This window comes from Homo sapiens, chromosome 3, assembly GCF_000001405.40.
Source record: "Homo sapiens chromosome 3, GRCh38.p14 Primary Assembly".
NCBI lineage: Eukaryota > Metazoa > Chordata > Mammalia > Primates > Hominidae > Homo > Homo sapiens.
The window spans coordinates 184013685-184040597 of record NC_000003.12 but is presented as its reverse complement, the minus strand read 5'-3'; the positions used below and the strand labels follow the sequence as shown (position 1 = coordinate 184040597).

The window sequence follows — 26913 nt, the reverse complement described above, 5'->3', positions numbered from 1 at the left end:
GTGAGGGCTGTATTCCCCAGGTTGTGGACATGCCTGGAGGACGGTAATGGTGAAAAGAATGCCGGCAGCGTTCTGGAAACTGAGGAGCAAAAGATCTTCTTGGAAAAACAAAAACAAAAACAAAATGCATCCTAAAAAGAGAATGAAGGGACACAATTTGGTTTGAAGACCATGGGCCTGAGTGACAGGAGGGATTCAGAGTATTGCAGGGTATTTCTGATTTAACACCCCAGATGCCCATGGGCCCCTCTGGAGTCCCAGTGGAACTGAAAGAAAAAAGCGAGTGACAGCTGGTCCTGGGGTTGCAGCATCCAGCTGGGAGCCTCTGTAGCTCCAGGATCCAGTCCCGACCATGGCTATGGCTCTGAGAGAGCAGATACTCTTGCAGCTAATGTGGGGTAGAACCTTTGGCAGGCACTAGCACTACCTCTAGTGGACATTAGCAACCTTGCCACCCTTTGGGCATCTACAGTGACCAGAGGGAGCCGAAGGAGTTTGGGAAAGAGCAGTGGAGAGGAGAAGCCAGAGAAATATTATTTAGTGAACCATTTTGTGAGTCTATTTTTACTCCTAGATGGTCATGATTTGGGAAATATGAGCTACAGATAGAAAGTAGTAGAATAAATGAAAGAAATGGAAATAAATCGTTGCGAAAAAGAAAATATGATGTTTGAGTGTAGTTAAGTTGCCCTCAAATAGGTGCTTTCTGAACCAACAAATGCCTTAGCTCTCATGTCCAAGGGCACAGTAGAGCCTCAACTTGTGCAAGGCAGCTAGTGCTCCCTAGGCAAAGACCTTCGAAATAATAAGACAAGTGTTAGGAAAAGGCACTTTCCAGTTCATACGGGGGCATTTGTGTTCCTCTCAAGTAAAGTAGATGTCATTTTCAAATGTGCTTCCCTTGGCCTTATGTTCTTTTCTTAGCATGATTAAGGGTACATCAACTCAAATTGCAACACAGATACTTTAACGGTAATGCAGGATTATGTTAACACTCTAAGTACTTAATGATGAATGAGTCATACGTCAGGGTGTAACAAAAGGCTGCGCTCTTTAAGCAGGAGAGGCCTAGTTTTGGCACATTAATTTCTGAAGCTTAAGTCCAGAGTAGCTGGATTTAGGAAGTTAATCTCTGTTTTTCTATAATTCCTTCTAATAGATTTTGGCCCCTTCTTTCTCTTCCCCTACATTTCACATGTTGTCTGATAGACTTAAAAAAACACACACGTAAGAGAAAATCCTTTTTACTTTGGCTGAGAAGTTTCTGCAAGAAGACTCTCAATCCCAAGATTTTTTTTACCATAACAGAATTCAGGGAAAAGCCAATACTTTCTGCAAAGGGGCATATTGGGGTGATTTAATCAAGGACGTACCCTAGGAACCTGAATCCTGAGGAGCCAGGGAGGTATGGGAGGGCTGAGTGGGGCTGATGGCATGCAGGAGCAAGGACCCGACTTTTGGAGGGCATAGGAGACTATTCAGGTCTGGTCTGAAACTACACAGAGGACTGGGTTAAAAATGAGGCGGTTGACAGGGCCACAAGGCTGACTGAGAGCCTGACTGGTTTCTGGAGTTCTCTGGCAAAAAGAAGTCCAGACTGAAGTTTGCAGGTGAGCACCTGCCTAGGTGTTCCAGAGGCATATGACGGTGATGATGGAGGAGGCCATGAAGAGCAGGTAGAGGCGGAAGAGCAGGGCGTCCATCGCGTGGCTGAACTGCACCCACAGCTCCACCGAGTGCTGCTTCTGGGCCTCGTGTTCCCGCTGGGCCCTTGTCCATTCTGAGCCCCCTGTCAGCTCTGCCTCCCCAGGGCCTGGCATCTGCCCTGCTGATACCTCTGGCTCCTTCACACCTACAGAAAGACAGAGACTCAGCCATGGGCTGCAAATGTCACCTGTGGAGGGAGGGAGACAGGGAAGGAGGCAGGAGCAGAGAAGTGGAGGTGGGGGAAGAGGAAGTATGACTTCCCTCACCGGGCAGGTGGGTGGGGGTGAGACCCGGGCCCTTATTTCCCTTCTGGGGCGCAGTGGGACAGCATCTCCCTTGGCCGGTGCAGTGCAGCAGCAGGGAGTGGAGCCACCGAGGCAGAGGTAGGGGCTGGGTGGTGGCCACGTGCAGCAGGTGGGTGATGAAGATGGTCTCCAGCAGGCTGCCCACCATCAGGGACAGGCACAGGGCGAAGTAGACACCTGCAGGCAAGGGGGTCTGCATGAGGGCCAGAGGCGCCACCTAGAATTTCTTGTTTCTTTCCCAGAGGATCTTTTTCCAGGATCCCTTTTCACTTCGCCTGGTTCTGCCCATCCCTCTCCCCATCCAACACACACCTCGCTTTTGGTCTCTTGATGGATGAGGACGTACTAGTGAAGCATGTGATGAAGTGCTAGTGGCTGGGAGCAAGTCATTCATCATGAGCAGGAAGACGCTGTAGCCCAGCAGAACAGTCATCTTGAATGGGGCACAATTCCCACTTTCCAGTGGCAGGTAGAAACTGAGGGCATCGATGGCAATCAGAATGCCACTGGGCACCAGAAAGTTTACCACGTAGGGGCTGGGCCTGCACCTGCGCCTGATGGCCACCTGGTGGGGAGGAGAAGGAGGGGCAAGTGAGAAGTAGGCTGGGAGGCTGTCAAGACAGGTAAGAGTAAGAACTGGGATTTGTCCCAGGCCAAACTGTCTAGTAAGGAAATATTACCTCCCGTCCCTTTCAGCATCCGGTCTTTTCATCCAAAGGCGTCTCACAAGGTTAGAGTCTCCCATGCTGCTTACCTCTGAAATGTATCTCATTCCTTTTGGCCCAAGGTGTCAACTTTCTCCACTTAAATTTTTATTCCTACCGACGTGCTCTTAGCAAGACTGTGGAACCACCGACTTAGGTGTCGCGTGTGTTTTATCTTTTCATTTCTAATTGCTTTTCTCGTCAAGGTCTAATCTCTAGTGACTTTGCAGGGGAACATTTGAGACCAGTGGGAGGGAAAGCAGACAGTATCAGATATTTTGGGGTTATCAGGATTTGGAATCATCATATCCCTAAGGCAGTGTTTCCTAACTCTTTCTACCATATCTTTTTAAAAATAAACAAAAATTCCTGCCTTCCAAAAAGTTCTGACAGCCATTGGGGAAGGCGGGGCTCACCCTCACCATGAATCACTGGCATAGAGCCTTTGTTTCTTCCTCAAGGGATGCTTTATTTAGTAACTATTTACTGAGTACCAGGTATTGTTTTAGTACTGAAGGTTTATCAGTGAAAAAAGTGACAAAAGGCTGGGCACGGTGGCTCATACCTGTAATCCCAGAACTTTGGGAGGCCGAGGCAGGCAGATACCTGAGTTCAGGACTTTGAGACCGGCCTGGTGAACGTGGTGAAACCCCATCTCTACTAAAAATACAAAAATTAGCCGGGCATGGTGGCGGGCCCTTGTAATCCCAGCTACTCAGGAGGCTGAAGCAGGAGAATCACTTGAACCCAGGAGGTGGAAGTTGCAGTGAGCTGAGATCACGTCATTGCACTCCAGCCTGAGCGACAAGAACAAAACTCTATCTCAAATTTAAAAAAAAAAAAAGAGTGACAAAGGCCGGGCTTCGTGGTTCACGCCCGTAATCCCAGCACTTTGGGAGGCCGAGGCGGGCGGATCACCTGAAGCCAGGAGTTCAAGACCAGCCTGGCCAACATGGTGAAACCTTGTCTTGGCCCCTGAGCTCACATGGAAGATGGCTTGTTCATACTGGTTAGTGGCCACGGTCACCTTTATTGTTCTTTTTTGGATACCCAGCAGTACCCACTCCCTCCTTGTTCTGAATGAGGTTCTGTGATGTATTTGAAAGCTCCTGGACATCCTTCTCCATGCCCGGGCTCGTGTTCTCCACTGCAAAGCAGGCCCAGAAGACTCAGCCTCCCCAAATGCGCCCAAGTCCCTTGCCCAGACTGTTGGATCCCTCACTGCTTAGCTTCCAGGCCCTTTTCAGCAAGATTCCCTCACTGTTCCCAGCTTTCTGTCCTCTTCTCACTCAAAGCCCTTTCTCTGCCTCTCAACAGTCTACTTTAGTGAGCCCCACTTACCTGTGTAGGTGAAAGGGCTGAAGGAGAGCGTTCACCTCTGTCCATGGAAGGGGAAATAGAAGGTGTCCAGTTTGCAGATGCTGACCACCCACATTGGCTTATTGTGTTTGATGTGGCCTTCACTATTGACATACTAGCCATGAGACCTGCAGGTGTCTGATCCACACTGATGCTGTGTGGGAGAAGGACAGGGAGGTAGGTGCTGTGGGTTTCCCCATCAGACTTGGCCTTCTTTCTCTGTCAGGTCATCCCATTCTCGAGCTCCAGCCCCACTCAGATGACTGCTCTCTTCTACCTATAATCATATTCTGGGGGTTTGTAAGCTCTTCAATTCAGACTCTGCTCTTTTCTAAGTTGAGTCTTTGTGTGGCCTTATCGGTAACATTGTGTCCTTCCCTGTAGACGTGGTTTCCATTCTGCTTTTTTGGCCTGAGACTCACGACTCCTCGATGAAGACATCTGAAAGCCATAGGTTCTCAGTTGCCATGCCGGACTTCTTGATGCCTCCGCATTCATCTGGGTTCCACTGCACAAATTGATTGTGCCAAGGCCGGGCATGGTGGCTTCTGTCTGTAATCCCAGCACTTTGGAAGGCTGAGGCGGGGGGATCACTGAAGGTCAGGAGTTCAGGACCAGCCTAGCTAACATGGTGAAACCCCATCTCTACTAAAAATACAAAAATTAGCTGGGTGTGGTGGTGGGCCCCTGTAATCCCAGATACTCAGGAGGCTGAGGCAGGAGGCAGGAAAATCGCTTGAACCCAGGAGGTGGAGGTTGCAGTGGGCTGAGATCGCACCACTGCCCTTGAGCCTGGGCGACAGAGTGAGACTCTCTCAAAAAAAAAAAAAAAGAATTGATTGTGCTAGGTCTGTAGGAAACCATGGCATGAGAGAAACAGGGGGAAGGAACTAGTTTTAGTTTTGCTCTGTCTTCTGCACCTTCCCTTTCCTTTTTTCGCCCATTTCTTCACTCTCCTGCCACCTCTCTGGTGGCAGCCATCACACTAACACTTGCTTACCTCAGTTTTCTCAAGACAGAGCTTGAGCTTGAGCTTGGCTCAGGATTCTCTGGGATGGAGCCACATAAGTATTGACTCCCATGGCCTTAGTGTATACCACCTTCTCCCTGTGCCCATTTTCTGCCCTCCTAAACCAGCAGAATAATCAGAAAGTTTTGTATTTTCATTATTGGTCTATTTGAACTTGTCTAATTTATGGATATTCTCAGCTTTAACCAATATAATCTGCAAAGCTGGACCTAGGAGTGGAAAAAAGAGAGGCACCAGAGTAGAGGAAAGGGGAAACTGAGTCTGTCATACCATATTTAGCCACAGGAACGATGTCACCAGTTGAAGGTGTGAATCCTGGAATAGCAGCTTTCATCTAGATGATTAACTCCAGGAAGGCAGGTCCCATGCCACCACCCTCTCCTTGTTCACTTCCAAGGCTGGTCCATGTGGCAATAATGATTTTTGATCTAAGCCACTGAAAAATGATGTAGATCAAAACAATTCAAGGTACATGGAAAATGTAAATGAAAAACACAGTATGAAGGTCCATTGGGAATATGTTTTGACAAGTATTCCAAAAAGAACAGATTTTACCTGCAGTAATGTCATTACAGCATTTCTTATCATGCCTTTCTACTCCTCACCCCCGCCGAATGCACCTCTAATTTTTTAAACACTTTTAAAAATCATTTTTTCTTTTTTTTGAGACAGAATCTTGCTCTGTCGCCCAGGCTGGAGTGCAGTGGCGCCATTTCGGCTCACTGCAACCTCTGCCTCCCAGGTTCAGGTGATTCTCCTGCCTCCTGCCTCAGCCTCCCGAGCAGCTGGGATTAGAGGCACACACCACCACGCCCAGCTAACTTTTTGTATTTTTGGTAGAGATGGGGTTTCGCCATGTTGCCCAGGCTAAAAATAATTTTTTCAATATTTTATTGTGATAAAAATATATAACATAAAATGTACTCTCTTAACCATTTTAAGTGTACAGTTCCGTGGCGTTAAACACATTCACACTGTTGTCCAGCCACCACCCTCCATCACCAGAGCTCTTTTCTTCTTGCAAAATGGAAACTCTACACCCGTTAAACAGTAATTCCCTATTTCACCCTCTCTCCAACCCCTGGCAACAGCTATTCTACTTTCTGTCTCTATAAAATTAGACAAATACACTATTTGTCTTTTTGTGACTGACTTATTTCACTTAGCATAATGGCCTCACAGCTTATCCACATTGTGGCATGTGTTAGAATTTTGTTCCATTTGAAGGCTGCATAGTATTCCATTGTAAGTACATACCACATTTAATCTGTCCATTCATCTGTCAATAGACACTTAGACTGCTTCTGAGTTTTAACTATTGTGAGTAATTCTGCTATGAACATAAGTGTACAAATACCCCGTTTTCACTTTTTTCGGGTATTTATCCAGAAGTATAATTATTTGGTTGTATGGTAATTCTATTTTTAATATTTTGAGAAAAAGCCATACTGTTTTTCCACAGTGGCTACACAATTTTACATCCTCACAAGCAGTGCACAAGGGTTCCAATTTCTCCACATTATCACCAACACTTGTTATTTTCTGGTTTTTTAATTTTGTTTTGTTTTGTTTTTTTGAGACAGAGTCTTGCTCTGTCACCCAGGCTAGAGTGCAGTGGCACAATCTTGGCTGTCTGCAACCTCTGCCTCCTGGGTTCAAGCAATTCTCCTGTCTCCTCCTCCCGACTAGCTGGGATTACAGGTGCCCACCAACACGCCCAGCTAATTTTTGTATTTTTAGTAGAGATGGGGTTTCACCAAGTTGGTCAGGCTGGTCTTGAACTCCTGACCTCACGTGATCTACCCGCCTCAGCCTCCCAAAGTGCTGAGATTACAGGCATGAGCCACCTCGCCCAGCTTCTGTTTGTTTTTTAATACTAGCCATCCTAGTGGGTGTGAGATATCTTACTGTAGCTTTGATCTGCATTTTCTTAACTATTAGTAACATTGAACATACACCTTTTCTTGTGCTTATTGGCTGTTTGTATTTCTTCTTTGCAGAAATGTCTATTCAAGTCCTTTGCCCATTTTTGAATTGGGTTGTTTGATTTTTTTGTTGTGAGTAACTAATTTTACAAAATCCAATCAAAGGGCCAGGCACGGTGGCTCATGCCTGTAATCCCAGAACTTTGGGAGACCAAGGCAGGTGGATCACCTGAGGTCAGGAATTTGAGACCAGCCTGGCCAACATGGTGAAACCCTGTCTCTACTAAAAATACAAAAATTAGCTGGGTGGGGCAGCACGTGCCGGAGGCTGAGGCAGGAGAATCGCTTGAAACTGGGAGGCAGAGGTTGCAGTGAGCTGAGATTGCACCACTGCACTCCAGCCTGGGTGACAAGAGCAAGACTCCATCTCAAAAAAAAAAAAAAAAAATCCAGTCAGAGGGTCCACTGCTCACCACTAGACCACTGCAATGTTGGGTGAGGACTTACAACTTCCAGATGGCAGACAAGGTGAAGGAGATGTTGACATGAGTGGCGACACTGTAGTTGGTGACTGGACCAATAGCCTTTCTGTCAAACACTGCTTGAAAGGCTGCAGGGTCCACCCTGTGCTGGCCAAAGCCTGGGCAATTGATAATCAAAGTGTCGCCATTTCCTGTAGTGAGCAGAGACTGAGAGAGGAGGGCCAGGGCTGGGGGGCCTGGAGAGTGTTTCTGCATGGAGAGAAAACAGGGGGCACTGGGAGAAGCATGTGAGCTCCTCCTTCCTGGTCCAGGAAGAGTAGGCTGAGCTGGTAGGCAAATGGTGGAAACTGATGAGGTGAGCTGAGTCAAGGATCCATCCTCAGTGCCATTGTTTTGTCCCCATGCAAAACCTGTCCAGATGTGTATGCAAACTCAACCCCGACCGCCACTTTACAGTGTCCTGCCATGTCCTTAACAATCTCACTGCAACCTCTCCACCTTCTGCCAGTGTCCTTCTCTTGCTTACCTCCAACCTGGAGCCATGTGGGTGATGTCAGTGACAAATTTTGCACTCACAGTTCTCCGCCTCGCTGTATTAATATGGCATAGATGCTAATAAATTAATGATAAGGGGAGTAATCAGATAGGTAGTGTGAGATATATGGGATCTTAAGGAAACAAATCAATTTCAGTTTTTCAATTTGATGAGTATTTACTGTGTCTTTACTATGTGCTGTGATTGTTCTAACATTTAGTAGTCTTCATCACTAGGATTATCTTAAAGAGTTCCCAGGCTGGGCTCAGGGGCTCACGCCTGTAATCCCAACACTTTGGGAGGCCCACGCGGGCAGATCACCTGAGGACAGGCATTCAAGACCAGCCTGGCCAACATGGTGAAACCCCATCTCTACTAAAAATACAAAAATTAGCCAGGCACGGTGGCAGGTGCCTGTAATCCCAGCTACTTGGGAGGCTGAGGCATGAGATCGTTTGAACCTGGGAGGTGAAGGTTGCAATGGGCTGAGATATTGCCACTGCACTCTAGCCTGGGTAACAGAGCGAGACTCCATCTCAAAAAAAAAAAAAAAAAGAAGAGAAAAGAGTTAACTAAATATTAGGATCCTAGGAAGAGGTACAAAGCCATCAGTGTCACGAGCATCATTTTTACCATAACGAACATCCAATCATTGACTATCTCAGAATAAAAAATATTAGCCTGTTTTCTCTGCTTCCCAGGAGTTACATGTCTGCTCAGCTCTTGCTCTTATCTTAAGGTACTTGCAGCAGCAGGTGGAGGATGAAGCCAAGGAGGAATCCTTTCCCATGGAACCAGCCTCTTTCCATCTTCCTCTCTTTGGCACTTCTCTGGGTACTTGATGATGATGTTAACCTTTAAAAAACCTCAGATCACACCTTGAGCCCTACCTTTGAATAATATATATATCAGCTGGCATTAACCGCCTCTCTAACAAGACCCCTTGGTGACAAAAGAATGTCACAGAGGAATAACTCACCCTGTGCTTTAACTGGGCCTGAATCTAGCCTCCAAAAGTAATATGGCAAATCAGTTTGGAGAAGAGGAAGCAAAAATATGTGGTCCCTGGAGCAGTGCTAATGGCTTCCTCATACTTTAAAGTCACTCTGGCGTACAGTGCCTCACCGAGAAGGCATGGATGACTACCACTGCCTCCAGGTGGCACGTGAACTTGTTAGACCCTGCTGTCATCTTTCTTTCTTTTCTTTTCCTTTCTTCTTTCTTTCTTTCTTTTCTCTTTCTTTTTCTTTCTTTCTCTTTCTTTCTCTTTCTCTTTTTCTTTCTTTTTTCTTTCTTTCCTTCTCTCTCTCTCTCTCTCTCTCTCCCTCCCTCCCTCTCTCTCTCTTTCTCCCTCCCTCCCTCCCTTCCTTTTTTTTTTTTGCGACGGAGTCTCCCTCTGTCTCCCAGGCTGGAGTGCAATGGTGCAGTCTTGGCTCACTGCAACCTCCGCCTCCCGGGTTCAATCGATTCTCCTGCCTCAGCCTCCCAAGTAGCTGTGATTACAGGCGCCTGCCACCATGCCTGGCTAAGTTTTTGTATTTTTAGTAGAGACGAGGTTTTACCATGTTGGTTGGCTGGCCTCAAACTCCTGACCTCAGGTGATCTGCCCACCTTGGCTCCCAAAGTGCTGGAATTACAAGCGTGAGCTACCATGCCCGGCCCCCTACTGCCATCTTTCAAAAAAGAAAGCGTGTTGGGGGGAGGGGGGTCCCTATTAATATAAGCAACTTCATACACTGAGGTTTTAAACATGACTTCAGTATAGTTAAGACTTTAAAGTATGAGGAAGCCATTAGCACTGCTCCAGTGATGACATATTTCTGCTTCCTCTTCTCAAAGCTGATTTGCTATGCCTTTTTAGTGTTTCAAAAGCAATCTGGACCCAGGTCTACCCAATGAAGGGAGTGATTAGTGGAGTAGGGGGTGGTGGCAGAGGTAATACTTTTTTAAAATAAAAGCTGACTTATGATTTTTTTTTTTAAATGGAGTTTCTCTCTTGCTGCCCAGGCTGGAGTGCAATGGCGCGATCTTGGCCCACCACAACCTCTGCCTCCCGGGTTCAAGCGATTATCCTGCCTCAGCCTCCCGAGTAGCTGGAATTACAGGCATGCACCACAAAGCCCAGATAATTTTTTTTTCATTTTTTTATTATACTTTAAGTTCTAGGGTACATGTGCACAACGTGCAGGTTTGTTACATATGTATACATGTGCCATGTTGGTGTGCTGCACCCATTAACTCGTCATTTACATTAGGTATATCTCCTATTGCTATCCCTCCCCGCTCCCCCCACCCCATGACAGGCCCCAGTGTGTAATGTTCCCCACCCTGTGTCCAAGTGTTCTCATTGTTCAATTCCCACCTATGAGTGGGAACATGCAGTGTTTGGTTTTCTGTCCTCGCTCGTTTTCTCAGAATGATGGTTTCCAGCTTCATCCATGTCCCTACAAAGGACATGAACTCATCCTTTTTTATGGCTGCATAGTATTCCATGATATATATGTGCCACATTTTCTTAATCCAGTCTATCATTGATGGACATTTGGGTTAGTTCCAAGTCTTTGCTATTGTGAATAATGCTGCAATAAACATACATGTGCATGTGTCTTTATAGCAGCATGATTTATAATCCTTTGGGTATATACCCAGTAATGGGATGGCTGACGCCCAGCTAATTTTTTTGTATTTTTTGTGTTTTGTTTTAGTAGAGATGGGGTTTCTCCATGTTGGTCAGGCTGGTCTCAAACTCCCAAACTTAGGTGATCTGCCTGCCTTGGCCTCCCAAAGTGCTGGGATTACATGCATGAGCCACCACGCCCAGCTGCTGACTTATGATTTTAAAGAAAAGGTCATGAGCTATTAGCCTGAAAGTTTATGTTATTTTTGGCCCTGCTAGTGTTTTTTTTTTCTTTTTTTAAAGTTAGTTGTGTAACACTTAAACATTGAGATTTCACATAAAAACTGTTTCTGGCTTCATTTGAAAAATAAGATCTAGCAACATGAGGCTCACGTTTCTGCTTGACAACAATCTGCCAAAGCTCAGAAGTAGTGAAACCCTTTGGATGGTTCATACTCACTCTAGATCACCACAGTCTCCATCACCCCTCCTGTCTTATTCCTGAGCAGCTCTCCTCATTTATGTTACCTGGTTGGCCTCTGTAGGTGTTTGACTTTGGCTTTCAATGTTAAGAATTTCTTTTGTGATTCTTTTTTTAACTTTTTTTTTTTTTTGAGATGGAGCCTTGCTCTGTCGCCCAGGGTGGAGTGCAGTGGCGAGATCTCTGCTCACTGCAAGCTCCGCCTCCCGGGTTCACGCCATTCTCCTGCCTCAGCCTCCCAAGTAGCTGGGACTACAGGCGCCCACCACCACGCATGGCTAATTTTTAGTATTTTTAGTAGAGATGGGGTTTCACCATGTTAGCCAGGATGGTCTCGATCTCCTGACCTCATGATCCACCCGCCTTGGCCTCCCAAAGTGTTGGGATTACAGGCATGAGCCACCGCGCCCAGCCTCTTTTTTTGACTTTTAAGTTCAGGGGTACATGTGCAGATTTGTTATATAGGTAAACTTGTGTCGTGGGGGTTTGTTGTACAGATGATTTCATCACCCAGGTATTAAGCCTAGTACCCATTAGTTATTTTTCCTGATCCTCTCCCTCCTCCCACCCTCCACCCTCTGATAGGCCTCAGTGTGTGTTGTTCCCCTCTATGTGTCCATGTGTTCTCATCATTTAGTTGGTACTTATAAGTGAGAACATGCAGTACTTGGTTTTCTGTTCCTGTGTTAGTTTGCTAAGGATAATGGCCCCCAGCTCCATCCATGGTCCTGCAAAGGACATGAACTCATTCCTTTTTATGGCTGCATAGTATTCCATGGTGTGTGTACCACATTTTCTTTATCCAGTCTATCATTGATGGGCATTTAGGTCAATTTCATGTCTTTGCTATTGTGAATAGTGCTGTGGTGAACACATGCATGCATGTGTCTTTATAATAGTGATTCTTAAATAGCCTTGGGAAGTAATTTCAAAATACCATTCCATGTGTAGGTAATCATAGGTCTTATCAGATTAATGTATGTAATTAATTGGTTCATGATGGAAGCCAGACATGATAAGATTAATTGGGCCAAGGTCATCAGTGGTTTAACCTGTTTTATTCTAGAATTATTTCTGGCAGGGAAGGCTTTAGGGAAAGTAATAAGTGGCTTACAGAGCAAAGAGAGAGCAGTCGCCTCAATGAAGGTTTACAGATTGAGGTAGCACAATGTATTAAGAAATGTCTAAGACCAAATTCTTTCTACAAGAATCACGTCACCCTCTCAGCCTCAGTTTCCTTATCTCTAAAATTGGGAGGGTAAAATCTATCTTGCAGGAGTCTTATGTGGTTTGAGATAATATATGTATAGTGCCTTGCCCATCTTAAGCAATTAATAGCAGTAAATTGAAGCAGAAATAACAGTAAAAATGGCAGTAACGGTTATCCTGTCCAGCCTAAGATCGCCCAGGTTGCTTCAGCCTAAATGGAATATTCTGAACTTAAAATGTCTGGGTTCACTGCAGCAACCCCAGTTCCTGTAAGCATAAGGCCCTTTTCTCTTAGCCTCACTCAGCTGGATACTGATAGGATTCACCCTTCTGCTGTCCTCAGCATCACTCTTTATCACTGGAGAATCTCTGCCCCTTTGGAAAGTTTGTTGTTGTTTTTTTTTTCTTTTTTTTAAAAAGTGACAGTACTGTTTTTCGCAACAGGTTTGCCGCTAGAACACAGGTGTCATGAAAACTCCCAAGCCAAATGGGAAAGGAAAAGACGCATATCAACATTATTGTCACTGGACATGTAGATTCAGGCAAGTCCACCACTACTGGCCATCTGATCTACAAATGCGGCGTCATTGACAAAAGAACCATTGAAAAATTTAAGAATGAGGCTGCTGAGATGGGAAAGGCCTCCTTCAAGTATGCCTCGGTCTTGGATAAACTGAAAGCTGAGCATGAACGTGGTATCATCATTGGTATCTCTTTTGTGGAAATTTGAGACTAGCAAGTACTACGTGACTATCATTGATGCCCCAGGACACAGAGACGTCATCAAAAACATGATTACAGGGACATCTCAGGCTGACCGTGCTGTCCTGATTGTTGCTGCTGGTGTTGGCGAATTTGAAGCTGGTATCTCCAAGAATGGGCAGACCCGAGAGCATGCCCTTCTGGCTTACACACTGGGTGTGAAACAACCAATTGTTGGTGTTAACAAAATGGTTACACTGAGCCACCCTATAGCCAGAAGAGATACAAGGAAATCGTTAAGGAAGTCAGCACTACATTAAGAAAATTGGCTACAACCCCGACACAGTAGCATTTGTGCCAATTTCTGGTTGGAATGATGACAACATGCTGGAGCCAAGTGCTAACACGCCTTGGTTCAAGGGATGGAAAGTCACCGGTAACAATGGCAATGCCAGTGGAACCACACTGCTTGAGGCTCTGGACTGCGTCCTACCACCAACTGGTCCAACTGACAAGCCCTTGTGCCTGTTCCTCCAGGATGTCTACAAAATTGGTGGTATTGGTACTGTTCCTATTGGCTGAGTGGAGACTGGCATTCTCAAACCTGGTATGGTGGTCACCTTTGCTCCAGTCAACGTTACAACTGAAGTAAAGTCTGTCAAAACGCACCATGAAGCTTTGAGTGAAGCTCTTCCTGGGGACAATGTGGGCTTCAGTGTCAAGAATGTGTTTGTCAAGGATGTTCGTCATGACAATGTTGCTGGTGACAGCAAAAACGAACCACCAATGGAAGCAGCTGGCTTGACTGCTCAGGTGACTATCCGGAACCATTCAGGCCAAATCAGCGCTGGCTATGCCCCTGTACTGAATTGCCACATGGCTCACATTGCATGCAAGTTTCCTGTGCAGAAGGAAAAAATTGATCGCTGTTCTGGTAAGAAACTGGAAGATGGCCCTAAATTCTTGAAGTCTGGTGATGCTGCCATTGTTGATACGGTTCCTGGCAAGCCCTTGTGTGTTGAGAGCTTCTCAGACTATCCACCTGTGGGTCGCTTTGCTGTTCATGATCTGAGACAGACAGTTGTCGTGGGTGTCATCAAAGCAGTGGACAAAAAGGCTGCGGAAGCTGGCAAGGTCACCAAGCCTGCCCAGAAAGCTCAGAAGGCTAAATGAATGTTATCCGTAATACCTGCCTCCCTGGTCTTCTTAATCAGTGGTGGAAGAACAGTCTCAGAACTGTTCGTTTCGACTGGCCATTTAAGTTTAATAGTAAAAGACTGGTTAATGATAATAATGCATCGTAAAATCTTCAGAAGGAAAGAAGAATGTTTTGTGGACCACTTTGGTATTATTTTTGTGTGTGTGGCAGTTTTAAATTATTAGTTTTAAAAATTAGTACTTTTTAATGGAAATACTTGACCAAAAATCTGTCACAGAATTTTGAGACCCATTAAAACAAAGTTTAATGAGAAAAAAAAAGTGACTATTTTATTTTATTTTTTGAGATGGAGTTTTGCTCGTTGCCCAGGCTGGATTGCAATGGCGCAATCTCGGCTCACTGCAACCTCCACCTCCCAGTTGGTTTCAAGTCTGTCTCAGCCTCCCGAGTAGCTGGGATTACAGGCACCCACCACCACACCTGGCTCATTTTTTGTATTTTTAGTAGCAACGGGGTTTCACCATGTTGGTCAGGCTGGTCTTGAACTCCTGACCTCAGGTGATCCACCCACCTCAGCCTCCAAAGTGCTGGGATTACAGGAGTGAGCCACCGCACCCAGCCTAAAAAGTGACTTTAGATAAGCATTTGTCAAAGCATTTTCTGTAAAACACTAATTCCAGAGGGTGTTAAATGCTGTTTCTAAAATATTATTTTTGTTATTTCATGTTTGATATGGTTTGGCTGTGTCCCCATCCAAATCTCATCTTGAATTGTAGCTCCCATAATCCCCACATGTCATGGGAGGGACCTGGTGGGAGGTAATTGAATCATGGGGGCGGGTTTTTCCCGTGCTGTTCTCCTGATAGTGAATAAGTCTCACGAGATCTGATGGCTTAAAAAAGGGCAGTTCCCCTGCACACGTTCTCTTGCCTGCTGCCATGTAAGACGTGCCTTTGTCCTTCCTTTGCCTTCCACCATGATTGTAAGGCCTCCCCAGCCATGTGGAACTGAGTCCATTAAACCTCTTTTTTCTTTATAAGTTACCCAGTCTCAGGTATTTCTTCATAGCAGTATGAAAATGGACTGATAAAATGTTCAAATAAGTCTGAGAAATGCTGAACTAAACAAGACTAACCAGCTTTCATTGTTGCAGGATTTCCCAGAGTATTTAGCTTATATTATAAATATATATTTATATATTATATATTTATATTTATATATTTAAATATATATTATATATAATTTAATATATAATATATTTTAAATATATATTATATATAATTTAATATATAATATATATTAAAATATATATTATATATAATTTAATATATAATATATATTAAAATATATATTATATATAATTTAATATATAATATATATTTAAAATATATATTATATATAATTTAATTATAATATATATTATATATGATATATATTTATTATATGTATATATGATATATATATGTATTTAGAGATGGAGTCTCACTATGTTGCCCAGGCTGGTCTTAAACTCCTGGGCTCCTAGAAATCCTCCTGCCTCAGCCTCCCAAAATGCTGAAATTACAGGCATGAGCCACTGCACTTGGCCTAGCTAATATATTAAAGTAAATTTTGACTATGATATACACAATTTTCCAAACCTTTTTGATTTTGGAAATTCTCCCTTTTTTTCAGAATATCTTGCAGGGCTAGTATTTCATGGGTTATTTTGTGGAAATACTGTTTTAAGTAAATAGGAATCTAGAAAAAAACTTGAAAAAATTATCTCAAATATGCTACATATAGAATATAAAATGCAAATAGCATATATACAAATAAATGAAGAAATTTTTAAAAACCTGATAAGTATTTTAAAACCTAAAGATTGTTGAAAACTATAAGCTGCAAGCAAGTAGAAAGTAAAACAGACATAAATTTTAATCCCTGAATCCTTGAGCAATTTAAACTTAGACTGACTCAAGGAGGAATCTTTTCTTCCCTTTTCCTTTAGATCAATGACCTGACAGCTGCGGGCCACATGCCATCTACCTAGACCTAATATTAGGATGAAAGTTTAAAAAGATGCTTTGGTATCACGACTTATCAAATACACCTATACGGCAACTTTAGTTGCTGAAAAGCAATGCTGATTTTTTCTCACTGGTGGTCTCCTATAATCAATAAAGTACACAATTTCTGTTTTAAGAATACACATTTTTTCCTCAGGGTCTCAACAATTGAATTGTTTTGATTGAAAGAAACTGCAGCCTGCCAGGTGCGGTGGCTCTCGCCTATAATCCCAGCACTTTGGGAGGCCGAAGTGGGCGGATCACTTGAGTTCAGGAGTTCGAGACCAGCTTGGCCAATATGGCAAAACCCCTGTCTCTACTAAAAATACAAAAATTAGCCAGGCGTGGTGGTGCATGCATGTAATCCCAGCTACTCCAGAGGCTGAGGCAGGAGAATCACTTGAACACAGGAGGCAGAGGTTGCAGTGAGCCGAGATCATGTCACTGTACTTCAGCCTAGGTGATAGGGTGAGATTGCCTCAAGAAAGAAAGAGAGAAAGACAGAAAGAGAGGGAGAGAGGGAAGGAGGGAGGGATTACTAGTGATAACAACCTTTACACCAGAGTTGTTTCTCTCTTCTTCTGGTCAAAAGTCCATATTTATCAAGCAAAACGCTTAAGAGAAGTATTGGGGAATGACTGGGATTGACCATTCTGTCTGACAAGTCCTGTTTTTTGGAGAAGGCTCTGTTTTTTCTGGACTATTGGTCCTGCTTCTCTGGCTTAGAGGGATCCTGTTGATTCTCAGGTAGTGGGTGCTCAGTCCATTCTTCACAATAAAATGTGGGAGAATTCTCCATATACATCTCATCATGAGATGTTAGACATATTGTACCATTTTATTCCGTTGAATAAGTAAGTAATTGTCATTCTGGGAGGATTAAAATCCCAAGACCTGCCTATGGGCTGTGATTATTATTTTAGCTGAGTAGATTTAGAAGGGTGTTCTGGAGAGAGGGAACAGCTAGAATAACAACATGGAAAATACAATGTTGGCAGGACCTCAGGTTTGACTAGGAGAGTGACAGGAGATGAGGCAGTGGTATTTTGAGGGCCAGATCACGGAAGACCTTGCATACCCAGCCAAGGTTTGCTTTTATTTTATAGCCCAGTGTTTCCCTAACTCAAATAAGGCTCAGACCCCTTTTAAGAGAAACAATTCTCTCAAACCCCTGATGTTGACTTCTTATTTACATGAGAATATTACTTAAATAAATCCGTTCATAAAGCTGTGTGCAAAGTCATTATGCTTATAGTTCTTATAGCACTATAAAGTTGAAATTAATTTACAAATATTGTTTTGCTAAAATTAGATAATTGCTGTCAATTTCTTTCCTGTTTTTAACAAGGAGCTAGTTTTTGAACAGCTATCTGTTATTGTTGGGCCAATGAATCTGATAGTGCATCTCAATGTAAGAGTACTTTAAAAAATTTTTAAAGCAGGCCAGGCATGGTGGCTCACGCCTGTAATCCTAGCACTTTGGGAGGCCGAGCAGGCAGATCACCTGAGGTCAGGAGTTCGAAACCAGCCTGACCAACATGGTGAAACACCATCTCTACTAAAAATACAAAAATTAGCTGGGCGTCGTGGCATCCGCCTGTAATCCCAGCTACTAGGGAGACCGAGGCAGGCGAATCGCTTGAACCTGGGAGGTGGAGGTTGTAGTGAGCCAAGATTACCCCATTGCACTCCAGAGCGAAACTCCGTCTCAAAAGAAAAAAAAAATTTAAAAAGCAACGCTTCATACTAACTACTTCATACTAATGAAGTAACGTAACAATGAAATAACAAGGGAAGTTGTTACCACAAAGGAAATGTGCAATGCTTTCCTTTATAATGATGAATGTGCAATATGACTGCTCATAACATGCCTATACTTCTGTGTACTTTAGGAAGACTTGGCTTCTCTATGAAAATATGTGAACCCTTTGGCTGTATAACATGCTGTCATGTCATCTGGCTTTCATCTGGCATTATTTAAAACTTAAATTCTCTTGTCTTCTAATTTGCCTGAGGCCATTAAAGAGTGCATTATTCTTTCACACTACATGGTTTCCATGATGTCAAATATAAAACTTAGGTTGGGCACAGTGGTTCACGCCTGTAAATCCCAGCACTTTGGGAGGCCGAGGAGGGCGGATCACCTGAGGTTAGGAGTTTGAGACCAGACTGACCAACATGGTGAAACCCTGTCTCTACTAAAACTACAAAAATTAGCCGGGCATGGTGGTGGGTGCCTGTAATCCCAGCTACTTGGGAGGCTGAGGCAGGAGAATCATTTGAACCCGGGAGGCGGAGGTTGCAGTGAGCCGAGACTGCGCCATTGCACTCCAGCCTGGGTAACAAGAATGAAACAATGTCTCAAAAAACAAACAAACAAACAAAACAAAAAACAAATATAAAACTTGATTTATTAACTAACTTTAAAAAAGGTCTTATTCCATGAAAATGCCTTTCATTGAAAAATTGAACTACAAAGGGAGCTTCTGTCTTGATAACTGTTAGAAGAATTCAACGTGAGTACCATAGCAGATATGGGGTGACTGTTAGCATGTGACATTAGTTCTAGACAAGCTAGGTAGAGGACGGTGTCAGGCTATTGCAGTAGAGCACTTCTGCCAATGAATGGACCACCATCTATCCAGTTCCACAACCACCTACATGTTACCCTTGACATTTCTTTCTCATTGCCCTGTATCTAATCTATCCACATGTTCTGTTGATATCACCTCTTAAATTTCTCTTGAGTTCATCTTTTTCTCTCCATCTTTTCCATCACAACCTTAATCCAAGCCACCATGATCTCTTTCCTACACAACAACAGTCACTCCTAGGTGGCCCCTTCTCTCCCATTCTAGTGGTCTCAAATTCTTTCCCAGTCTGCCAGCCACAGTGCAGTTTCCAAAAGATACATTTTTTTTTCTGTTTTTTTGTTTGTTTTTTGAGACTGAGTCTTGCTTTATCACCCAGGCTGGAGTGCAGTGGCCAGATCTCGGTTCACTGCAACCTCTGCCTCCTGGGTTCAAGGGATTCTCGTGCCTCAGCCTCCCGAGCAGCTGGGATGACAGGTGTGTGCCACCATGCCCAGCTAATGTTTGTATTTTTAGTAGAGATGCGGTTTCACCATGTTGGCCAGGTTGTTCTCGAACTCCTGACCTCAGGTGATCCACCCACCTCAGCCTCCCAAAGTGCTGGGATTACAAGCTGTGAGTTACCACGCCCGGCCCCAAAATGTAAATTTAATTTCTCAACTCCTAACATATTCACCCTTTTAAAACTTTTTAGTGGTTGCCTTTTGCTCCTAAACACCTGTAACAAGATCTACATGTTTGGAGATACTCCCTTCATTCTACCACAACCTGGTCTTCATTGTTTCCTCTGCTTCAACTGCTGTCTCTGCTGCCCACTTCCACTGTCTTCACTTCACACACTCCTACTTCCTTCAGATGAAACACACACCTCCTTTCCTTGCACTTACTACAATTATCATTTAAATACTGGTTAGTGTTTATTTGGGAGTCTAAGCCCCATGAGGGCTGGAACCGTGTTTGTTTTAGCTCCACTGCATCTCTACCAAATATTTAATGAATATGTTTAGTACATTACACAACATAAATATTATTTAGAAATACCCACAATTCTGGCCGGGCGCGGTAGCTCACTCCTGTAATCCCAGCACTTTGGGAGGCTGAGGTGGGCCGATCACTTGAGCTCAGGAGTTCGAGACCAGCCTGGACAATATGGTGAAACCCCGTCTTTACTAAAAATACAAAAATTAGCCAGGTGTGGTGGGACATGCCTGTGATCCCAGCTGCTCTGGAGGCTAAGGCAGGAGAATCAGAATCACTTGAACCCTGGAGGTGGAGGTTACAGTGAGCCGAGATCTAAAAAAAAGAAAAGAAAGAAAAGAAAAGACACACAATTCTACACTGCAACATAGATTCTCTAGCCCCCTTGCCTGAGGGTTGGGAAGTATCGCCCCTCTAAACAGTTCACAACACAAACACATTTTGAGGGGGTAATTTTGTAAGTATAATTCTTTCACTCAGACTATACTTGGACAGACCAAGACAGTACTACAGTGTATTGAAGCCTGCCACCAAGGCTGTCTGGTGTTCATCTATTCTTTTTTAATAAAAAACAAACTATAATCAACATATATGAAGTATTTCAGCGGGATTTAGAAGCTTTTTAAAAAATATGATGATATCAGATCTGCAGTTTTGGGTGTTACAGTGTTTGAGGCATTGTTGGAAGGTACTAGAATCTTTGGTGAGGTGGTATCTCATTACTATTTTAATTTACATTTCCAGGCCAGGCGTGTTGGCTCACGCCTGTAATCCCAGCACTTTGGGGGGCCTAGGTGGATGGATCACAAGGTCAGGAGCTCAAGACCAGCCTGGCCAATATGGTGAAACCCCATCTCTACGAAAAATACAAAAATCAGCTGGGTGCGGTGGCCGGTGTCTGTAGTCCCAGCTACTCCAGAGGCTGAGGCAGGAGAATTACTTGAACTCTGGAGGTGGAGGTTGCAGTGAGCTGAGGTGGCACCACTGCACTCCAACCTGAGGGACAGAGAAAGACTCTGTCTCAAAAAAAAAAAAAAAAAAATCAATTTCCCTGATTATGAATGAGATTGGGTGTCTTTTCATATTTGAGTGGCTGCTCAAGTTTCCTATTCTGTGAGCTGTCTGTTCATGTCATTTACCTATTTTCCTATTGGGTTATCTGCCGTTTCTTACTGAACTTAGAAATTATTTTGAATATTTATTATTCAAAAACTTTGTCAGTTATAACTTGTGGTTTATCTTTTCAATTTATGCCATCTTTTAATATGGCAAAAATTATCAATCTTTCTTCCTTTATTCTTTGTTTCTTGTTTAAAAAGTTCTTTCCTACTCCCAAGTTCATAAAGATATTTCCTATCTTCTTCTAAAAGTTTTTAAGTTTTCCCTTTCACATTTAAGCGTTTGATCTACCTGAAATGGGTTTTTTCTGTGTGGTATGAAGCGGTAATCCCTGATTGTTTTTTCATATGTATAACCAATTGTTCCAGTACTATTTACTGACTCTTCTTGCTTTCCCCACGGATTCGTAAGGTTTTCTGTCACAGATCAAGTTACATGGATGCACCAGTCTGTTTGGGGGCTCTTTATTCTATTGCATTGGTCTATCAATCCGTGCGCAAGAATATGCTGCTTTACGATACAGTAGTGTCTTCACACTAGCTAACTAGCTAGCTGTTATAAAGATGGACAAGTCACTTTACCTTCTCCTTCTTCCTCTTCCTCTTCTTCTTCTTCTTTTTTAATCTTTGAATTAAAAAAAAATACGGCGGGGTGAGGTGGCTCGCGCCTGTAATCCCAGCACTTTGGGAAGCCGAGGCGGGCGGATTACCTGAGGTCGGGAGTTCGAGACCAGCCTGGCCAATATGGCGAAACCCTGTCTCTACTTAAAAAATACGAAAATTAGCCGGGCGTGGTGGCGGACGCCTGTAATCCCAGCTACTCGGGAGGCTGAGGCAAGGAGAACTGCTTGAACCCGGAAGGCGGACGCTGCAGTGAGCCGAGATCGCGCCATTGCACTCCAGCCTGGGCAACAGAGCCAGACTCCTTAAAAAAAAAAAAAAACTCATAATACCTACTCATAGGGCTGTAATGGAGATTAAAGGAAACAAGAATGGTATGTAAAGCATCGGATACAAGGTAGGGAAGAACTCAACAGTGGCTTTTATTTAATGATGCTGAAGGTACCGATGAAACAGAGAAATAAAGGGATCAATCTTTCTGGGAGCTTCAGTTTCATTTATAAAAAGAAGAAGATGAGTTAGCATAACATTTCTAAGGCTCTTGCCACTTCTAAGACTGTGATCCTGGCATTTTATTATCTAGAGACCAGGCAGCGAGACATTGATGGGCAGTTGGTGTTAAAGTGAGAAAGGCGGTATCTGCGCAGACTGCAGGGTCGAACCATGAGCAAGCAATCGTATCTGCCACAACAGATAAGAACTGGGGCTGGCCGGCCTGACGACTCTCAACGGGTTAGACGCGGGCTACGATGACCTTCACGATCTTTTCTGGCAGCTACACGGCCACGCAGGGTGGGACTGCTCTGCCTACGAACAGCACTGTGTGCGAACACAGGGCCACGGTTAAGCCTCCCGGCTGCCTCCCCCAGGGAACACGACCCCTGAGAAGATTCCAGACAGTCTCGCAGAGGCACGGGGAAGGATGGAACAGAGCCGGGAGCTCGGTGGGAAGAGGGGCAGCCCGCACCGCCCCCGGGATGTCACCGGCGCTTCTGGGAAATGTAGTCCTTCGCCGCGTCCGCAGCCCTGGGCACTCGGAAGGAGGACTACAGTTCCCTTCAGCCTTGGGAATGCTTTGTGCAGCGCGCTTGCGCGGTGTGGCGGCCGATGCCGCTATAAAGGCTTGTTTTGCTGCAGGGCTCATGCTCGGGAGCGTGGTTGAGCGGCTGGCGCGGTTGTCCTGGAGCAGGGGCGCAGGTAGGTGATGGCTGCTGCCGCACCCCTGCCCTCCAGCTCGGTTGTCACGGGGATCACCCCTTTGCATTTCCTCGGGGCGTGGCGGGATGTGGCCAGGGCTGCGAGCAGTTCGGGGGACACTGGAGACTTGGGGAACGGCGTATGGCCTCCCCCTGGTCTCCTGCCGCCGCCTCCTAGGCCTGTGAGCCCGGGGTCTGGTGACGGGGTCGTGTGCTGGAAGACAGGCAGGTAGGATCGGGATGAGCGGGCAGGGACGCGGGCTACGTCCCTGGCCGCGGCCGCCAGGGGGCGCTGCGCCCGCGGGCCGTGGGTGTGGGTCGCGCTCGCCTGGGCAGGCCGGAGCGGGCTGTGGGAACGCCCTAGGGCCCGGGCATCCCAGGCGAAGCGGGTCTGAGAGAAACGCCCACCTGGGAGGCTGTGCAGCGGGTGGCTCGGGGCACCCTGCTCAACCCGCAGCGGAGCCGCCAGCGACCTTCGAAGTAAGTCATCCCCTTCGTTTTTGCAAGCGGGTAAATGGAGGTACGTGACATAAGCACGCGCAGCAAAGCCGTGGCTGTGCCGGGAACGCAGCCCAGATCTCTCCACGGTCATCCAGTGCTCTTTTCGCTTCTGCCACACAGAGCCGCGGGTGGCTTTGTGTTTATCACACAGGGGCCATTTGGTTTCTGCACAGACGGAGAGGCTGGAGGCAGGTGGGCACAGGAACGACGGGGAAAGTTTCAGGAGGTCTTGGAGGAGGAGATGGCTAGGTTTTACTGTGGTCCGCAGCGTGTATGAAAGGTGAGGCTGCTTGGAGACGCAACAAGTGGATTACAGTGGGTGTGGTAAATACGTATCCCTTTAGCGTGGTGTCTTCCTCGTGCAGCTTGAGGGCCTGGAGGTGATGGAAACCTACTCATGAGTGTTGGGATGACTGCAGCTTGCACACACCAGTCTGGTAATCCCGTGCAACTCTCCTCCTGCCATGCAGTTGAATCAGTATCATTGTGCAGGGAGAGTGTCTACACTTTTATCAGTGGAAAGAGAATCTTGGTAAAAAAGGGCAGCTGACTAAGTGGCCTCAACCCTATTGGGCACTTCTTTGGGGTTCTCCCACGTTGATTATTCTGCTTCTACCCTTGTACATGTCTGGACAACAGGTTTGTTTTTTACAAACAAAAATCCCTTCTCTTTCTTCCTCTCTTGATAGCTGAGGCAAGTGAGCATTTAAAAAAGATATTCCAACAACTTTAAAGGAGGACACGAGAAGATAGGGAAATATAAATAGTATCAGTAAAATGGCTGGCCTGGGGATCCATCCTTGCTTGCTTGCTTGCTTCAGACTGGGGCTTTGTTTCTTTCCAAACCTGTCAGGATTCCCAGCTCTTCGCCGGCCTCCACGTGGGGTGCCCTCTTTTATGTTCCAGATACACAGACGATGGTGTCCTTATGTTCAAGGCCACAGACAGTAACTTTGTGCCTACTTTGGGCCTGCCTGCTCTCCTGATTGTGCCTCTTTTTCCAGGAAAGTAGAGATGAGTGTGTTAGAGATAATGGAACACTGTTCCCCACACCCTTCATACATAGAATAACTTAGTCCCTTAGGATAGTTTAGCAGTGTCTACCACAGCAGTCACTGTAGGCACAAAACAGTCATTATTTGTGTCATAACAGGGAAGTCGTTTTGTCCCTGCCTCTCTCTGCTCCTGTGCTCCACTGATTCTACTTCATCCTTTGAAATAAAAGTGGTTGAAAGAATCTTTGGTTATCATGGGTGCTTAGATAATTAAGATTATGTTCGTGTTCTTCTTGATGTGGCATTTCATATTGTGGATGAGTTCCAGTGACCTCCTCTGTTTCAAACTGCTCACCGCCCCAACCCCCACCTTTTAAAAAGGTAGTACTAATCTTTTCCTCTTCCAGATAATCAGCTAAGCTAGGGAACCCTTGAAGGGGAAGGTTAGAATTTCGTGATTCCCGTAAGAAGGTTACTCTGATCTACAGCTACAGCTCAACACTGGGGACACTGGCAGATGCCAGGTCTGTTTATAGTTTAGCCTTAATGAGGTCTCAATGACGTGATTGCTGCACTCTGGCTTGGTGAGCCGCTGTTCTTTATGGTGTAGTTTGTCATTGGACAAGGTGACTTTTTTTTTTTTTTTAAAGATAAGTAACAGCTATATCAACTTAGGGTACTTGAACCAGAATTCTGAAAGGCAAGAAATCAAGCTTTCTTTGGACTGGAAACCTGTCTTTGCATAGGAGATTTAGTCCTTTTTATTCAGAGGATTAGTAAGTGTTCTCTTTTTATCTGACACTTTAAAAATTGCATTATAATGGTTAGAATTTTGTGCTGCAGAAGTAGTAGTTTTAAGTCACAGCGATAGCCAGGGATTTATGGAATCCAGAAGGCGACACGGCTACACGTCTTTAATTTCCGTTGGAGGCTAGTATGAAAGGTGTTTTCTCAGCTTGTCTCTGGGAGGCTGTGACCCTTCTTAGAGGGGGGAAACATTTTGGAGAAGTATGTATGTGTTTTTTGTTTTTAAGTGACCTGAGTTGATACAGCATATTGATTAGACTTAGCCAGGCAAGCAGTGGTTTAGAATAGAGTTTCAGGTAAAAACTAGGTAAGACTTAGTAATACAGGGTGGAGAATTTGTTTTTGTTATTGTTTTTTACTAACAGCTTTGTTGCCATAGGATTTATATGACATGAAATTCACTCTTTTAAAGTATAAATTCAGTGTGTTTTTTTTCAATGTATTCACTGCATTGTGCAACCATTACCACTATCTAGTTTTAGAACATTTTCAGTACCCAGGGAATTTGTGTTTGAAGTTAAGTTATAACATTGTTTTAACTGGATAACTTCATGGAGCTTTAAAATAACACCAGCTAACCCATTAGTTAATTATAAAAAGGCAGAGATGGAATATATCATTGGTAGAATAAGTGTTTGGTAAGTTTTTATTTAGTAAAATTTAGTAGAAGAAATGATGTCCACTTTAAAATTGTGGAGTTTTTAATACTTGGGACAAACTGAAATTGTTTCTAGAAAGTCTTTAAAAAAAAAACCAACCTTTCTATTGTATACACTGGATTTGAGCTTAGTTGAAGAGAATGGGTGTCTCTTTACTAGTGTGTTTACTGTTTCTAATTTTTTTTCCCTTAGAGTTGGGAGAAGGTAATTTTTCTTGATTCTCTTATACTGAATCTTTTTCTTTAAAAAAATGAAATCAAAATCTTTGAACTTTTTTTGAAAATTAATTTTTGTAGCTATAACAGTAGAAAGCTTTAGTACTTTTGCCTTTTTTTTTTTTTTCCTATTTTTAAGGCACTTGAGCTTATGGTTAAGTACTGTTTAGGAAATAATCTATTTCTTGATGAATTTTTAATTTCAGGAATTCTGATGTGAAACTAACAGTCTGTGAGCCCTGGAACCTCCACTCAGAGAAGATGAAGGATATCGACATAGGAAAAGAGTATATCATCCCCAGTCCTGGGTATAGAAGTGTGAGGGAGAGAACCAGCACTTCTGGGACGCACAGAGACCGTGAAGATTCCAAGTTCAGGAGAACTCGACCGGTCAGTTTCCTTTCCTAAGAGTCTCTTACCTGCTTGTTGTACTAAAACACATCTTTTTTCGTATAATGGGTAATTTAGAAACTTATTTTTTGGCCGGGCGCGGTGGCTCACGCCTATAAACCCAGCACTTTGGGAGGCTGAGGCGGGTGGATCATCTGAGGTCAGGAGTTCGAGACCAGCCTGACCAACATGGTGAAAACCTGTCTCTACTAAAAGTACAAAAATTAGCCAGGCGTGGTGGCGGGCGCCTATAATCCCAGATACTTGCGAGGCTGAGGCACGAGAATCGCTTGAACCCAAGAGGCGGAGGTTGCAGTGAGCTGGGATCATGCCACTGCACTCCAGCCTGGGCGATAGAGCGAGACTCAGTCTCAAAAAAAAATGTGTTTTTCTTTATTGGCTTTAGGTTACTGTTAAGAATTTATGGTTATTGATAAGTCTCTGGTCCATAGTAAGCACTCAATAAGTGGAAGAGAGGCTGGCTGTCACCCTCTCACCCGGTCTGTTCTGAGCATTCTCCTCTTTTTCACTTTTATTCTATGTTGGTGCCTTCTGAAAAGGCTATACTTAACAGAAGAC

The 26913-nt window shown here is 44.4% G+C and overlaps 2 protein-coding genes and 1 pseudogene across 15 annotated transcripts in view, besides 3 other annotated features; 2 read left to right on the top strand and 1 right to left on the bottom strand.

Annotated features, from left to right (window-relative positions):
* HTR3D (5-hydroxytryptamine receptor 3D) lies at positions 1229–9054 on the bottom strand. Of its 4 annotated transcripts, none has more exons than NM_001145143.1 (8): positions 8791–8856; positions 5376–5420; positions 4498–4583; positions 4054–4223; positions 3702–3850; positions 2325–2577; positions 1974–2189; positions 1229–1852 (listed from the first exon to the last, which is right to left on the bottom strand). In NM_001145143.1, the coding sequence occupies exons 1-8, from the start codon at positions 8854–8856 to the stop codon at positions 1623–1625; spliced, it is 1215 nt and encodes a 404-aa protein (NP_001138615.1). In that variant the 3' UTR covers positions 1229–1622. The 4 variants fall into 4 exon arrangements, with proteins under 4 accessions (NP_001138615.1, NP_001157118.1, NP_872343.2 ...); NM_001163646.2 differs by lacking the exon at positions 8791–8856 and adding an exon at positions 7541–7767 and having other exon boundaries at positions 1974–2229; positions 2359–2577; positions 4093–4223; positions 4498–4620; positions 5403–5432; NM_182537.3 differs by lacking the exons at positions 3702–3850; positions 4498–4583; positions 8791–8856 and adding an exon at positions 9027–9054 and having other exon boundaries at positions 4058–4229; positions 5376–5541.
* Positions 1471–1971: an enhancer, noted in NCBI's record as "H3K4me1 hESC enhancer chr3:183756415-183756915 (GRCh37/hg19 assembly coordinates)". NCBI's record gives its function as "activates a minimal SCP1, AML or CMV promoter by ChIP-STARR-seq in primed H9 embryonic stem cells {active_cell/tissue: H9 hESC(primed)}" and the evidence as "EXISTENCE:reporter gene assay evidence [ECO:0000049][PMID:30033119]".
* Positions 12786–14429, top strand: EEF1A1P8 (eukaryotic translation elongation factor 1 alpha 1 pseudogene 8; annotated as a pseudogene).
* Positions 22317–22496: an enhancer, noted in NCBI's record as "active region_20900". NCBI's record gives its function as "activates an Ori minimal core promoter by ATAC-STARR-seq in GM12878 lymphoblastoid cells {active_cell/tissue: GM12878}" and the evidence as "EXISTENCE:reporter gene assay evidence [ECO:0000049][PMID:35858748]".
* The window catches only part of ABCC5 (ATP binding cassette subfamily C member 5), a 97951-nt gene continuing 93751 nt past the window's right edge, over positions 22714–26913 (top strand). For 6 of the 11 annotated variants that reach the window (NR_135125.2, NM_005688.4, NM_001320032.2 and 3 more), the window contains exons 1-2: positions 22714–22768; positions 26151–26334. Coding sequence is in view for 9 of the 11 variants with exons in the window: in NM_005688.4 (NP_005679.2) it covers positions 26206–26334 (129 nt within the window). In the remaining 2 variants the exon portion in view is untranslated. Of the gene's footprint in view, positions 23549–23633; positions 25040–26150; positions 26335–26913 lie in introns of those variants that run through there. The other 5 variants (XM_005247059.6, XM_047447100.1, XM_047447098.1 and 2 more) reach the window with 4 other exon arrangements.
* Positions 22977–23146: a silencer, noted in NCBI's record as "silent region_14953". NCBI's record gives its function as "represses an Ori minimal core promoter by ATAC-STARR-seq in GM12878 lymphoblastoid cells {active_cell/tissue: GM12878}" and the evidence as "EXISTENCE:reporter gene assay evidence [ECO:0000049][PMID:35858748]".